Source organism: Homo sapiens, chromosome 5 (assembly GCF_000001405.40).
Source record: "Homo sapiens chromosome 5, GRCh38.p14 Primary Assembly".
Lineage (NCBI taxonomy): Eukaryota > Metazoa > Chordata > Mammalia > Primates > Hominidae > Homo > Homo sapiens.
This window is the reverse complement of record NC_000005.10, coordinates 147,766,367-147,783,748: the sequence shown is the minus strand read 5'-3', so window position 1 is coordinate 147,783,748 and position 17,382 is coordinate 147,766,367. Positions and strand designations below refer to the sequence as shown.

Below are 17,382 nucleotides of genomic sequence, written 5' to 3'. Positions count from 1 at the left end.
ACACTTACTATATGCCAAGTGCTTTTAGTGCATTATCTCATTCAATCTTTACAACCCCTCCACGAGATAAATACTGGTGTCATCTATAATTTATAGTTAGAAACAGAACTCGCCTAGAACTGGACATTGCTGATTTCACTTCCCCCTTTTCCTGCCCACCACCCTGACTGCCAACTGACTTCGGAACTCCAAAAAGGCATCCATGAAAACGACAGGAATTGCCTGCAGGAAATTGAATGCTCCAGGAGTTTGACACTAAAAAGATTGGGAACTGTCCACCAACTTGTGCTACCGAGAATAGTGGTTGTTGAAAGGAATTTCGGTCTCTATCCAAACTTACTTTTCCTCAGGGATGTGTCAATTACCTCCAAGTCCTGTTCAGAAGGGTAGCTGGAAAAACAGTGAAACCAAGTAACTCACCTGAGAACAAGCCGGGAGTAGTGCAAAGGAATCAACCAGACTCTTAATTTATTACAAAGTCCAGCCACTCCGTTTGCTTTCTAAAAACCTTGTTGCCTGGTATTGAGTAAAAGATGCTATAAAGGACGAACACGTTTGGAAGTAATAATAATCTGCTATTATGCGACATAATTTTCTCCACATTTGTTGTTATTTTTCTGATAATAAATTTCATACTTTTTATTGGAAAACCACAGAAAATGCAAAAAATAGCTAAGCCGTTGGTATGTTTCTATCTAGATTTCAATTAAATTTTAATTATTCTCTCCCCGTGCCTAGCCCCCCTTGCCCCATTTTTAAAAAGACCTGGAGTTCAGGGTAGGAGACATCAAGAGCATCCTAGAGGGCAGCAGCACAAATTCACTCCCCTCCAGACCCTGCAGCTTGCTTCGCCCATCTCCCCTCCCCCTGAGCTTGGTCGCTTATCATTGGTCATTGCCATGGCAACCAGCAGCTGCCGGGCCAGCAGCCTCTACCGCAGCAGGGGTGGGGCACTGGGGGAGGGGGAGAGAGAGAGGAGGAGCCAGAGGAGGTGTCTGCTGCAAGTTCCTGGCTGCTTCCGAGCTCACCCCATCCTCCGAGAGGGAGGAGGCCCAACTGGTGATGCTGCTGCTGCTGCTGCTGCCGCCGCCGCCGCCTCTATTGCTGATACTCTAGTGGGGCTGGAAGGGTGGTTCCTATTCGCACCATCGCCAACCAGAGACAGAGGGAAAAAAAAAACCGGCAGCCACTGCTGATGTTGGGTTCGGAGGCTGCATCCGACTCGGTCACAAGGAAAATGGATTCAGTTTGCATCTCTCCCTCCTTTAAACAGCTTCTCCGGGTCTCAGCATGGTGAGTAGGAAACAGTAGGGCTCCCTTCTTGGTTTAGAGTGTTCTTATTTGACCTGTGTATACATTTCTGGCCTGAACTTGAACAATGACTCCCGTGCCTCAGACTAGAAGGGGGAGATGTGGAGACAGAGATGAGGATGGAGGGAGAGGAAGCTTGCCAGGAAGAGAGAAGTGAGAAGACAACCTCTTGTGTTTAAAAAAAAAAAATGGTGTTCTGATTTTATCTCTAACTGGCTCAGAATGCAGACTGAGCCACTTGGTGCCTTTTTTCCTAAGCTTAGCAACAGCATCAGGGGTTGGAAAAAGAGCTAACAACAAGAAGAGGGTGTTATTGAAAGGAATCATTTCATTTGCAGCTCTCACATACAGGGTTGGGCCTTCTTCAGAAATACATTTGGTGTCTCATAAGCTTACCAGACTCATTATAAGGTGGTTTTGCTTATTTTATTGATTGCTTAGAAAAAGTGGCCCCAGAATTTGACATTTTATTTTATATTCTAATATACTCTTGTTGAGAAATCATTTGCAAGACCCAGTTTTATTTTATACGTAGATTTGACTGTGAACTTACACATGTATATCTTATGGATATACAGATCATATATACACATGTCACTTAGCATTTATATTGCATTTATGAAGCATATTTATATGTAGGGTGTGCTTTGCAACCATTTTTATGGGTTACATATGTCCTTGCATGCCTGGAAGTAATTGCATGTTTTTGAAACTATGCTTCTGGTTTATATTATTATTCATTGGCTTTATTTGGATTAATGTGAAATTTACTCTGGTTATTGTCCCTTAGTTTCATTGTGACCGATTGGAACAGATGCCTATCGTTTGATCTGTGTCATAGAACTAGATGCAAATTTGTAGCCTGCCTCTTTATTTTTAATTGGGTTTGTGGGGGATGATATTGAGGACTCTGAATTTACAATGATGGGAATGGGAGGCGGTTTGTGGTATTATTTTGTGTCTAGCATCTTACCAAATCAATGTTGAAGCAAATCAGTTTTCTTGAAATGCCACCCCAACCTTTTCATGTTTGTGCCTTGTGTCCCAGGAAGCACAGCTAAGCTGGAAGGTGAAATGTATTCATTTTATTTAATAGTGCTGCTATCTGATGTTCATTCCTTCAGTATCCAGGAACCATTTCACAGTTCTCTCAGATGTTGTATTAAGGGTCTCCTTCTGTAAATAATTAAGTAGGAAAGTAGGATTGTTTTGAAAATCTAGGTATTCCCAAGCACCCTAGCCCAGCCGTTTCCAAATTAGTCTGCTTATACAATGAAATGAAACCAGAGAGTGAGCAAAGCGAGCAGGAGAATGTGTGGCTTGTAGCTGAAATGGGGGTCTATTGTAATTTACAAATGCTTACTGGGATCTGCTTGACCTTTTATTATGTCAAGGCTTTAAGGCAGTTCAGGAGACTAAAGATGCGTGAGATGAGGAGGTTCCATTCCCGCCCAGGATAATGGATTTCATTGAATTAAAGCCAGAAAAAATTATGTAGGTAAAGTGTATTAGTAATATTACATTTACCACATGGGCTATTATAGTTTTATCCATTATTCTCTTCTCTAACAATATCATTGTCAGTACAGACATTTTTTACAATGTAAAATAACAATTGTTTGGGTCTTTAGTCTTGCATCTGATTCTACATACACCCCCCACATTTATAATTTTCACATGTATTTGAACCAGGTTTATAGTTTAATTTTGCTGAGAATAATTGTTCTATTTGGTTTATACATGAGAAGGGCCCTTGGTGACTCAATTGTGCATGTGCTCATAGCATGTTATATATTATAGATCCATAGCTTTGTAAACTCATGCTACTTTGTGCCTAATTTTAACAACTATATGAAGTAGGGCAAGGAAAGAGGTACTGGGCTTGTATGTTATAACAAATTGTATAACACATTGCATCCTGAATCTTTTAGTGATAACACTTGACTTCCAAAAATTAAAATGTTAGATATGCCTATAGCACACTTAAAAAATTAAGATTTGTACTAGTTGACCCCATTTCATGCAATGAAAGCAGATATCCTGGGGCTTTGTTTTTGTTTCTTTTTTTTGAGTTTTCATTTGGAGGTGGTTTTATAGGCAAAGTTGGTACAGTTTGAACAGAGGCAAATCCCTTAGGCCATGTGCTTAAAACTCCTTGTAGATAGCCTGTTTCAGCTATGTGTCAGCTATTACCCTGATAGAAATACAGGTCTAGCTTTTGACCCCACTATTTAAGACAATTATATGGCCTTTGCTAAGGGGCCATAGAAAAGTGAAGTGTGTTTCAAGCACTAGAAGTTGAACTCTCTGAGGAAAGATTTTTAAAAGCTAGGATCATTTCATTTAGAGAAGAGAAAAATGAAATATGGCAATCGTTTGTTTCAGATAAGCTAAGCATGGGGCATAAGCACAGGACATTGCTTATTGCTATTTTTTGGAACCTCAAATGTAGTCAATGGGCTTCAACTTTATGAGGAATTATGAAGATGAGAAATATGCAAATGTAGAAGTTCCTCATAGTAAGTGTGAGTAGTCAACTGGCTAATCAGATAAAGCAATGAATTCTTCTCTCATCAAAACCTCCAAAAGTATGACCTAGATATGCATTTGTCTAGGATGTACTAGATTTCCTTCTCAAGAACTTCTCTTGCTTTTTCTAGAGTGAGTCATTTATTTGAGAGAGTACATTAGTTGTTTAAGATAAGACACTTCTAGGTTATAACAGTAAGACTCCATTTTGTAGTTGACTTCTAAATTACAGGTTCTAGGTATTTGTAAAGAAATCAGCTGATCATCTTCTTAGAGAAATTTACATGTAATCCTGCCAGAATTCAGGAAACTGAACATTTACCTGTTCATAAGAGCCCTTCTTTCTCAGCAGCTTTATGGAGTATGATGTCAAATACCTATATTAAAATTATTTCATATTGTATAGTTAATTTTGAAAAATGTACTGTGTTATTTAATGGGGTCTTTGTACAAAGTAATTCAAGGGCCATCAAGTTGTTTTTTTTAAAAAAACAAATTATATGAAAGGTATATACAAATTAATGTTTAAATGTGCTGTTTAACAAACTAATCTTCCACTCAAATGCTATCTTAAAAATGTCATTCATGTTAGAATATTAAAGTTAAATATTTTGATTGGTATGTAAGTCTTTAGTAAAACTTGTTTTAATTAAGACACACTAATTAATTTCTCACTTTGTAATAGGATGTTTCTTATTTCAAGTGACATCAGAACATATTTTGATTTTATGTGCCTGCTACAAGTCCGCTTCAGGATGACTTAGGCAATATTTGGAGAGTCTAACAGTTTTCTACATTTCTTTTTGGTTCATGAAAAGTCAATGCTTTGTTTCTCATGGTTGGAGCTTACTGTGGAAGTTTTAACATAAATAACGCAATGATGGTCTTTTACTGAAAGACATAAATTAGGTTTATACTTGGTTGTTACTCTGTGAAGTGTGTTGCAATTCCCTGTTTACACATTCCACTATTATTCTATCAAGGGAAAATGTGCTTTCAAGCAGGATAAATTAATAAATTGACTAACAACTATTTGTAGAGGTTTTATATGACTAGCAGCATTTGCGTATGCTAGCAAGAAAGAATTTCCTTGGAGAATATAAGATATACATCCATGAAACAGTTAATGTTGAAAACAATATAGTTGTAATTAGTACCATCACTTCACCTTATATTATTACAAGTTTTTATGATTCTGTCATTTTTCCATTCTTTTTCATTTTATATTCTATCAATTTCAGTTTATATTCTATCATTTCAATTCTATCATTATCAGCAAAGCTAGTGTCGTAATAATTATTTAAAATAAGTGGAAACAGATTCAGGGAGGTTAGACTTGTCCAAATTTGTGTTTGGTGAGTGGTGTAACAGGCTGGATCCCTAGTCTCATGAGCACAAACTACAACAGTAGAAAGGTAGCAAATTATCTTACCAATTTGAATTTTAATTGGTAAGATAATTTTAATTCAATTTACTAATCTGTGTTGTGTGGCTCATTTTATTTGAATATTTCAGGTACCAAAATTTGTTCTTTGGCCATATTTAATTGCCAAATACACTAACTATGTGCTTAGGGTATCAGGCAAAAAAACAAAAAACAAAAACAAAGCAAAACAAAACAAAAAAAGGCTCACACACACAAAAAGCATTTTAGAGAAAATCTAGGCTTCTTGATATATCAGAAAAACGTAGAAGCATTTGTTTGGGTGAAAATCAGAACTTTGTTGGGCTAATATGCACTTATTTTATAGATAAATATTGTTTTTGTTTTTAATGACATAGAGGTTGGGAGGTGACCATTTTTTTCCGTGTTTAGGATCTGATTAAAATTCCTGTAGGTCCTGAATCTTGAAAAAAGTTATGCCACCTCCTACCTATATGTCCTAATTATCTCTCCACCTACACATTCTTAAAAGTAAAAATGATATTGTCATAAAATAAGTGTGCATCAGTTCAACGACTTTCTGATATTTTCTCTGAACAAATTCTCCTACATTTTTCTGAACTATCAAAAATATTTATTTGTTTTTCAAATATTCTAATTTTCTGGTGTCTCTTTTTCTTTATTAATGCCCTAGGCACATACTGGTGTAAGTATTGGGTAATTCAGCCCTGGCCAAATAGAAAATCATGGCGTCTGAACTGTATTCTACATTTGGAAAAAGTGTCCTTTATAATTAATTAGCTTGCAGTAAAAATGGGACCTGTCACACTAAAAAAATTATTCTTTAAATCATTATTCATTACTACAAGTAAATTTTGTTGCTTAAAGTTTTTTTTATATTTAAAAATAACACATCCTCATTATGGAAAAATGATAATACAGAAATGTGTAAAAGGAAGATGAGAACCGCTCATAAGCCTACCATCAAGAAATCATTACTGTTAGCATTTTGGAATATTTCCTTTTAGATCTTTTTGTATATGCACATAGAGACACATGCAGACACAGTTTCATACATGGACCATACTGTATGCATTGTTTTATATTGCTTCTGCTTTATGTATAGTGGCCATCTATCCGTGTCAACAAATGTGTCTCTACTGAATTTTAAATTTCCGCATGCATTTTTCTTGACGATTCAAGCTGTTTTTCCCCCACTTGAGAGTGTTCACACTTTACTTTTAAATACTTCTTATGATACAGATAGATCCTGCTTGATTTAAAGCAGTCGTGAGTCAGGCATTATATTCAGGAAATATGAACTCTGTTAACCTGACCTGCCACTGCATCTTACAATGGGTATTAAATTAACCTTGGTCATTCTTTGTCTGCTGATAATGAATGAGGTCTGAATCCAAGGCAGTGAAATCCCTGTTTGAGTCACTAGGAGTTTCACCAGGTGCATATATCAGCAACAATTAGAAAACAAAAACAAAAACACATCTGTTTCAGATTCATGTTAGTTTTCCCCAGTGTTGTAGTGGTATGTCGTGTAGTTTTATTTTTTAATTTTTAATTTATTATTATTATGATTTTTGAGATAGGGTCTCACTCTGTTGCCCTGGCTGGAATGCAGTGGCATGGTCTTGGCTCACTGCAACCTCCCCCTGCTGGATTCAAGTGATTCTTGTGCCTTAGTCTCCTGAGTAGCTGGAACTACAGGTGCTCACCACCGTGCCTGGCAAATTTTTGTATTTTTAGTAGAGACGAGGTTTTACCATGTTGGTAAGGCTGGTCTTAAACTCCTGACCTCAAGTGATCTGCCTGCCTGGACCTCCCAAAGTGCTGGGATTACAGGCATGAGCCACCATGCCCAGCCTGTCCTGTAGTTTTAACCTTGGTTAAGCAACTCAAATCCATTATGGGAAGATATTTAAACGACTTCTCAGAATAAACCAAGTGTATTAGTCCGTTCTCACACTACTATAAGGACATACCCAAGACCGGGTAATGTATAAAGGAAAGAGGTTTAATTGACTTACTGTTCTGCAGGGCTGGGGAGGCCTCAGGAAACTTACAATCATGGCAGAAGAGAAAGCAAGCATGTCCTTCTTCACATGGTGGCAGGAGGGAAAAGAATGAGAGCTGAGTGAAGGGGGAAGCCCCTTATAAAACCATCAGCTCTCGTGAGAACTTACTCAATACCATGACAATAGAATGGGGAAAGCCACCCCCAAGGTCCAATTACCTCCCTCTGGGTCCCTCCCACGACATGTGGGGATTATGGGAACTACAATTCAGGATGAGATTTGGGTGGGAACACAGCCAAACCATATCACCAAGATGTAGTTTTGCTATTTTTTTCACTATATTCATTATTTCATAATGAATTCATGTATATCATAGTTTTCAAATAAAACCCCAGTCATCTGACTCTTTCCTCTTTTTTAAATATGAATGGTTGACTCTTCTTAAACTTTGAGCTTTAAACATAATACCTTGGAGAAAATTCCCTAGGTATATATCCCGTTTTACTCTCTGCAACCTGTGTGTTTCCTTCATAATACGTATCAAAAGTTGTAATTACAGAGCTATTTATTTGCTTTCCCTACTCTTCACTAGAATGTAAGCTCCATGAGGGCAGAAAATGAAACTGTGTTGTTCACCAATTGTAACGAATGCCTTGGTACAAAATGCATACTCAATAAAGACTGTTTGACTGAGTGGCTGAATGAATGAAAGAATGAGAGTCCCCTAAAGGGCTCCTGGCCTAAGACTGTAGAAGACTTCAACTAGTAGCTCTTTCAACTGTGATTCTCATTCTTTTAATTTGACTGTAAAAACAAAATGAATTGCATTCACATCCTCAGGATGTTATGATTTTGATAAGGCAAAATCATATTCTTAAAGGTAATATATCATAACACTTAACAATCCATCATTAAAGACTGCTCACTACATGCTACAATATAAGTAAGAAAGATTATGAACACTTCCGTGGATCTTTTTATTTTCTTTTAAAAATTGAATTGCAAGTCAGAAATAGTAACATCATTAATGAATACCTTTTAATTCACTAATTTATTAAAATAAGTTAGTAATTTAATTATTATAAGCAGCAAGTTATATGATACACACTCACAGCTATTGTGCTATTTTAGAAAGCTACTCTACCAAATTCACTAATCATAAACAAATCATTCCATCCTATCTCCATTCAAAAATTAAGTTGAATCAGAAATGCATCTCACTCCAAAGATAAATTAAGGCAGCATCCTGCTTTCATGAGAGTTTTGAAATCAAATATAAAAAGAGTGACTTGTACAAGAGGGTTAGCTTGACAGACACACGGACATGCCTTTGAACCACTGAGGACAGTGATTTCTACGGGTGTCTAACCTGCTGATACGCTGTAACTTAAGTATGAGGAAAAAGCCTTTGTTGCCTTTCTTTGTTTGGCACCTAAATCAAGATCATGGCACTTACTGCAATTCTTGAATTTCTGGAGTCCAGTTTCAGTTAGAATATGCATGGAAAACTAAATCTGACAAATTTTAGCTGACACTATGTGGCCAGAAAACCACTCGGTATTATTTTCAAGAAGGGAAATTTGCTGAGATTATTATGACTCTAAAAAAGCCTCTGAGCATGTGCTTAGGAGAAGAGGGTGATATTTTCATCATGCCATCTTTTCCAAACTGGAAATGTTCCCCTGAAAAATGCTTATAACCACAGTAAAAACCAGGCAATTGTTTTTTACCCGCATTTCTTACCTGGCTCTTTCTTATGTAGCACTTCATGGAGAGAGGTACATTCCAAAAATAAACTGAGCTCTTACTCCGTAGTCATCACTGACGTATATTTAAGGCCCTTAACCTACTCATAGGTCAAGCATACCTAATTTGAACCTATTTTCCAAAATGAAATTATTAGGTATTTTAAGTGCAAGAATACTCATGAAAACAACTTGACAATATTTTAAATAAGTACCATTCTGTAAAATCTAGGCTATTGTCTCATTCTACCAATAAGCCATTAAATGAAGAGCAAAACAGTCAACAAATTTTTATATGATGATAACCAATTTGGAGAATTTATATTAAAAAATCCATGCTGAGAATTCACAAGCTGCTAATTCTGCTAATTGACATTGGCAACAGAGAGAGAAGGACTTAGATGTTTTGAAGATATTATAGGCCCTCAACTTGCTTTCTTATGGATTTGCTAGGTAATTCAGATTATGAAAATGGGTACTCTGGAATTACAGGGGTTTCTCCATCATCTTCTCAGTTCTAGTTTCCTAAACCCAAAGGAAGGAATTATTTTGACCACTGGGTCAGTCTCTGTTTCCTGTTGTCTTTTAAGGAGTAATTTAAGTTGTAGTTAATTAACTATAAAACAGGTTTTGTATTTTAGAGAATATATTATTTTTAGCTATATTATGGAAAACATTTGAATTTTGACTTCTTTTTAAAGGACTTCATTAAATAAAATCATCTATAAAATTTAGAATACAGAGTATTTTGAGCCAGATGCTTAAAATGTTTAGCAATAATGAAAAATAAGTCTCAGCTTTTTAAAAATGAAGTAGAAAGGAATGCCTTCCCCCAATCAATTTCACATAGAAGGAATGCTTTACCTGTCTTGCTCTCTTCTTAGCCAGATTGTCCACATTTTTGACCTACAGGGTGCAATGCCACACTCTGAAACAAGAGAAAGGAAAATATTAGCCTACGACAAGGGAAATCGATTGTTGCATCTGAGTGTGACCTTTGGGTTTTTGCTCTCTACAGGTTTAAGAGTCCAGTATCCAAATGCACACTTAAACATGCCTGATTCATACTAACACTCTTACATGGGCAGATTTGACTACATATATACTGTTTAATCTCTTTTAACTATGGTATGTGACTTTATGTTTTTCTCCTTTCATCCTACGTACGGTTATTGAAATCAAGCCTACATGGTTTAGTCGAGGCCCCTGAAATGTAGTAAAGAGACAAGAATTAATATTTCTAGCCACTCGCTGGTCATTTGCTTGCTGAACTTTCACTAACATGTGTAGTTTGAAAACATGAACTGTCTACATTTATTTTGTATAATCCTCTTGCTTTGAAACATTGATCTTTGGCCGTGTAGTCAACTGTAATCTAAGCAGAATTGATCAGTTCTCAGTTCACGTGGTGCCATCACTAATCATAGCCTTGTGGTGCTTAAGTGCTGTTTGACCAACGAAAGGATCCTTATGACAGAGAGTAGCCGATGAAGCAGTGGAAGAGCATTTCGTTCAAGGCAGACTTTTGCCAAAGATGCACTTCCCCCTAGGTAAATTTGAAAATTTTTTCAGAGTTGATGCTGACTCATCTTTACTCTTTAGAAGATGTGGAGAGACCCATAGTTTAGAATTTTCTTTATAATTCAAGTAAAACTATTTATTCCAGTAGTTAATGCGTTAGCGCTGACCTTCCTAATAACAAGGATATCTGATATGCTCTGAATATAGCAAGTATGAAAGGAACAAAACAGAACAACTTCCTTTTTAAAGTTATCCAGAAAATGAGAAAAAGACCTAAATTCTTTGAGCATCTATTATGCATCTAGTACGCTGAGTATTTTCATCCATGCCTGTTTTTGCAGTTCTCACAGCAGGCTGGTGAAGTAGGCATTTTTCTTCCCATTTTGCCAATAAAGATGAAGCTTTGATAGGTTAAATGTTATACCCAAAGCCATTCAATTAGCGATTTTTTTAACTGAGATGGAAATAAAGTCTGTCTGATTATGTAGCACAGTGGTTACAAACTGGAGCCTTGTGGACTGGACCCAGCTCAAGAAAAGTGTTTGTAAACCTGAGTGAAATGTTAGTACAAAGCAATATATGCTCCTAACACAATATTTTTTAAAACACACTTTTATCCAAATTTTATAATTTTGACATTTCAGGAGATATTAAAATATCTTCTCCTCTTAGGAAAAAAAAAAAAGAAAATCTGGCAACACCAGGGCCACCTTTCTTCATGGCATCTGGAGTTGAACTGTGGGTATTCTGGATGGGTATTGTGCTACTTCAAATCCCTAGCCTGCCCCCCACCACCCCCTCATAATTGATATTTATTGTTCTTCAGTTACACATTCAGTTTTCATTCATATAGAAGCTGAAAATCATGAATACAGGAAATAATCCTGCAGACAAACATTTGCTAAAAATGAATTATCTGTATGAAATTTAATGCTTTAGATCTGGTTTGTGGGCAATCCCAATGACATTTCAACAGTATGATTTGCAGCTTCAAATGTTTCCCTTATGTCCCAGCAATTATTTACGTCTTTCATAATTAGTAGACTAAGGCGTTTTTTTCACAATTTACATATGTTTAATACTTTATTTTTCAAGTTATAAAAAAACTTTTAATACTTCACATTCTCACAAGAATAAAGACAGGGCAGATATTATATATTAATATGTATATCTTAGGTCATTTAATTATCCTCATCAGATCTTTCCATTCACATGTAATTTGTGCCAGCAAATCTATGGTTCCTGTATGTGGAAACAGCAAAATAAACCAAGAGATTTTTCTTTTTGGTGGTAGGGGGAAGAATATGAATAGATAGTTCCTGCAAGTATATTATTATCAGCAGCAGCAATACCACAAAAGCTTCACTGAAGACCCTCAAAATAGAAAATATTTATAGGCTTCCAATTGTTAGCCCTGGTCCCTGTCCAAAAGGAACTTTTGTTTTTAAAAGGATAAAGGGCCAAATATAAATGGAATATTAATGCATGTAACAATTACAGGAGAAACATAAGTAGCACTACAGTTCCCTGTCCAAGTCTTTATTTGTGTGAACTGATCTCTGTGGCTTGTAACTAATGGCCCTAAACTATGAATGCATACGGTGATGAGAATGCTTTGAATCAGTATTTAATCCTCCCTTTCTTCTCAACAGGTATCTTTCATTTGATGAATCAAATATAATAATGTTTATATTAGCAAATAGGAACTATTGAGATGTGTCAGTTTACTTTTTGGACTAAATCCAGGTTAAAATATATCTAAGGGTTTCTTTCAAAACATATTTGATATTAATGCTAGTTTTTGTTTTATGTTGGTTTTTATTTTGCTTTACTACTCTTACTAGATACTAGCATTGCACTAAATTTGTTGCATACCTTTTACCATCACACTTTGAAAAAAGTGATTCTATTCTTATTTTATTCATAATTAAACTAAGGCATATTGAGGTCAAGCAACTTAATACTTACTCTAGATCATCCAACTAATGACTGATGGAACGAGATTCTGACCTTAATTCTGTCTGACTGCAAAGTTGCTCTTAACAAATAAGCTAAACTACTTTCCCCTTTTAATGAAAACATGATTGTGATTCTGAAAATTAAAGTAAATGAAGAAAAAGGCAAATATATTTGAATGTTATTGTTACATATTCATCAAGACACAATTCTTGCTAAAAAGGACAGCAACGCTCTGCTTAAATCTACATTCAAGAACAAAGCCCACATAAACACACTTTCCTCAGTGAAAAAAAGAAAATAAGGGGAGAATGAATCCCAGTCCTAAAATAAACCATTCAGAGATTTTGTGTTTAAATAACTATTAAGAGATTTTGTGTGAGTTCTGTGTATTTCTACAGTGTAATCCAGGATTCACTTTTTAAAACAAAAATGTAAATAGGCATTAAATATATTTTTAAAAAGAAAATTATCTAGTTTTCCTTCCTACTTTTTTCAAGCAATAAATAAGAAAGACAAAAATTTTGTTCTGTATTTTTGACAGTTCTTTAAACTGTAAACATTTTCTTTTCCTCCAGATCCAGAGAGCAGTTTCACAGGAATTTCACCTCTGGATAAATCCCCAACTGCAAAATAGACTGGGCAGTACATATTTCAGAATTTAACGCTATGAACAATATAGTTTCTGTGGTCTTATCATTTACGTGGTGTAAATTCACGCAACTCGAGGCTTTTTTGTTTAAATTTTTTGTTTACAGTAAATAGGAATTATAACAAGAATAGGTTTGGATGAGAGACTGAAATTTTGATTTGGTTGTCTGTCTGTACACCCAACGGGTATTTTGTGTAGACAGCCTGGATCCTATTGTCCTTTCTTTTCCTTTTTGCTATGGCTCACCAGAAATTGTGTTTGTCTATGTAAACCCATTTAGAACCTCTGACCCAGGTGGAGCAATTTTTCAGAAGTCCTTTGGAGTCACTGTAGATAGTCAAATATACAGATATATGGATCACATATATATGATAAGTTAATTGTGACCTATCCCAAATGTGGAATGCAATGAAGCCCTTTAAACAGTATGTTGTAGAAAAATGTTTAGTGATATAGAAAAAATATGTAAGATTTGTCTAAGTTAAAAAAAAAGTCAAAAATCAAAAGATAGAATTTAATCCCAATTCTGTGAAAAGAAAATTACACAAACATATATACATACGTTTTAAAGGGCCAAAATAGTGCAAATGAAAATATTAAAAGGAATTCGTTGTAGGTGGTAAGTTTATGAGAAATTTTTCTTTGAGTTCTCTGATTTCCAGATTTACTAAAATGCATTTTACATCTTTAACAAAATGTGGTAAATATTTTTAAGGAAAGATGTTGATATCAAAATGTTTAAATCATCTACAAACCCAAATATTTGACTATCCAGTTTTGCTCCACCTGGGTCAGCAGTTCCATCTGGTTTACAGAGACAAACACAGTGTTTCTGCTGAGCCCTAGACAGAAGGAAAAGGCAAGGAGGATAGGATCCAGGCGCTCTACACAAAATACCCATTGATGTCCTAATATTTTGAAAAAAAAAAAAAAAAGATCTTGTCTCAAAATAGTTTGAAACCCAATGATATAATTAATGCAATTGACATTCTGTATACCTAATTTCTTTAAAAACTAAAAATTTCAATTGTCACTGGGATATTCAGCATCCTATTTTCATTAGTCTATAGTGGGTTTAGTTCATAGTAATTATTAGAATACATGGTAATAAGACAAAAATCCAAGTTTAATACTATGTGGCTCAGTCATAATCCATTTTTATTGAAAAGCTCTAACAAGGATTATTACATGACAGGACAAAAATCCATACACATTCTGCAGAATTCTGAGCTTTTTCCCTTTAGGAGGTAGGCACAGTCATCCTTATCATGAAGGATCTGCTTACACTTTTGCCGCCCTCTCCGTAGTTTAGATGAAATGAAATCTTTCTCTTCTTGGGCCTAATAATCATGATGATGAGGAAGATGATTATGACATCTCACACTTTGAGGGTGGGTTCCAGAGGGGCACAACTCCGGGGAGGACTGTGTGAGTGGCACCTCCCTGAGTTGTACAAAGGAGGAGTACTGAATGAGCACCTGCTGTGTGCCAGGCGGAGTTCTGATCATTTGACAACCGTGATATCATTGAGGCAGGAACTACTCTACTCCCCTTTAACTTCTGTATTTGAGGAAACTAAGACAGAGAAATGTTAAGGAACATGCCCAAATTCAACCAGCTAATAAATGGTTAGCCAAATGGCTTCTTCATGCTTGTTTTCATACTAGGTGTATGGGATAAAGATCAGGATCCTATTCTCAAAAGGCTTATGTAGGAAGACAAGTCTATAAACAAAAAAGTTAACAATAAAACATTACAAACATTGTGACAGTATGTGTCTCCCATTCAGCCACAAAAGGACCAGGCCTCAAACAAAATTTTAATACTTTAACATTTGCCATAAAGATATAAAGTCTTATTTAAGCGAAATCATATTTGTTCTTTATTGGGGAAGTAAAAGCAGAGTGTGAATTATTTTATAGTGCCTACTTCCTGATGCTGTTTATTACGCATTGTAATGCTGTCCATTAGATAGTATATTTTAATACTGTCTGACCAAACCCATCTCAGTAATGAATGTTAAAATAACTCACATGACTTATTTTTATGTAAATTACTACCAAAGAGTATCTGTTTTTTAAAATGATGTCACCTAATAAACCTGTTCAATTAGGAACTAGAGGCATATTTGAACATTTTGAATGGGAACAGAACTGAAAAATATATTTTAAGCTGAATGCAAAAAGGTATTTGTGAAATTTGTGGTCTTGATTGTAATACAATGAAGAATTAAGTTTAGAAATAATTCTAACAGCTACGATGGGTTCTTCTAAGTTAGGCGTATGTGTAGGGGAGTAAGTAGTGAGTAGGGAACCTACAAAGATGAATAAAACTTAATCCTAAAAGCACGGTAAGCTGTAAGCCTTGAGGCACTAAAATTTTGCTGAGAGACCCAGAGGCCTTTATCAGAACATAAGAACATTTACAAATTGAGTATCAAATATGTAAAAATCTATACAAGAAAACTTAAGAACATCAATCAAGGCACATGAATGAAGAAAAACAGTAAATGCATGAAAATTGAGTTTACAAACCTGAAAGTGTGTGTGTGTGTAGGGGTTTTGTAACCTGTCTTGCCTTAAAGTTAAAAAAGAATGTTAGTTACATGGAATCAAGCCATGAATGGCCATGATTCAGGGAGTAATGCAAGAAAATGGATTTTTAAAATAAAGCAAACAAAACAACACAAACAGATCACTTTGCAGACTGAATGGTTTGCTGTGCTCAATTTCAGCATGCTTGAAACTTCATCACTTAGTAACTATTAGAAAACAGAGTATAAGACTGAAGTAAGAAATGACTATTAAATCCTACGAGGAAAATTATGAATGGCTTTTTAAAGATTTTTTTCCAATTTGAACCGTTTCTTGCATGTGAATCTAATGAGGGCATATGCATGAGAAATATTGGAAAACACATTAGATACATTGATTTCAGTTACAGTCAAGGGACTCTTTCATTATTATTTTTTCTGTATTTAATACATAAAAATCAACCCAGAAAGTGAGAAAAATATAAACCTGGAGGGAAAAAGGTCACTGAGTACTTAATGAGAGTATTGATTCTGATTTGCCTGCCTTCACTTTGGATTTTTCTTCTTTGAGCTATGATTATCAGTACTCCAACCTTGGTATTAAGTAATCTGTAAATTCTCTCTTGGTGTGTAGTCAAATGCCACTGAGCCAGAAACCTGTACAACTATTGCAAATCCCTTAAACTGTTTATTTTCCTTTAAGTGAAAAGGAAGTGTTGAGATGGATTCTCTACAAGGACTCATCCAGCTATAAGCCAATGTGTTTATGACTTTGTGACTGTCCATCACATTTTCCGTCAGTTCTTTGTCATAGTAAATGCTTCTCAAGGTAATAAGGCAATATCAGCTTATTGTCATTTTTCTCTTTCACTCTGTGTATATGTGTGTGTGCGTGCACGCGTGTGCACACACAATGTTGCCATTCAGTTTAGCCAACAGGTCATTAAATTCAAGCTGTACATCAAACAGTGCATATAATGTGGTATGCTGCCAGGCTAACTATTCAATCCAATGCATAAAGGAATTGACTACTGTTTTCTCTGCTGCAGCCCAGATACTGCATCCTTAAGGCCAATGTGCAAGCAGAAAATGAGTGATTGACTGGCCGATCTCATTGAGAGGTTTTTGGTTTATTTAAGGGCTTTTATCAGTTTATATTACGGCCACTTTCCACTCAGCATTATGAATCTGTGTTAAGTGGACCCCCAAGGTAAGAGCATTCTCTGCTCTGCAAAATATTTGCACTTGCACATTCAGGAAGCCACTGTCTAGCTTTCCCTTTTTAGAGGCCATGTTGGAAGCCAGCTTACCCATATGTGTGATATTTTAATCAAAGTATGAATATAGCTCTCCTTAGAAGGAAAAATCAAATGAAAAAAAATAAAAGATTATCTTTTTCCTTCTCTCCCATCTCTCAGGGCATGTACTGCTGTTGTATATGGAGTCAGAAGAATATCTCATAAACAGAGAATCCCTTGACTTGACAAGTGTTCTTTTCCCACAGTTGTTATTTTGGTACCAAGTTCACTTATCCCAGCTCTGATTTGTTTAGAGTAAAGCAATGTGACACAGTGGAAAGGCACAAATTTGGGAATCAGAAGTCAGAGTTTAATATTTGTTCAGCTACCAGCTGATTGTATGACATAAGCATGCATCCTGTCCATTCTGGATTTTTGTTTTGTTAATTGTTAAAAGAGAGAGATAAAAAACATCACTTATTT

The 17,382-nt window shown here is 35.6% G+C and overlaps 1 protein-coding gene across 7 annotated transcripts in view; it reads left to right on the top strand.

The window, feature by feature from the left end:
- Window positions 1-1,020: 1,020 nt before the first annotated feature.
- Window positions 1,021-17,382, top strand: part of JAKMIP2 (janus kinase and microtubule interacting protein 2) — a 197,291-nt gene continuing 180,929 nt past the window's right edge. For all 7 annotated transcript variants that reach the window (NM_001282282.2, XM_047417951.1, NM_001270934.2 and 4 more), the window contains exon 1: window positions 1,021-1,293. In NM_001282282.2, the coding sequence (NP_001269211.1) occupies window positions 1,291-1,293 (3 nt within the window). In that variant the 5' untranslated portion in view covers window positions 1,021-1,290. The remainder of the gene's footprint in view (window positions 1,294-17,382) is intronic.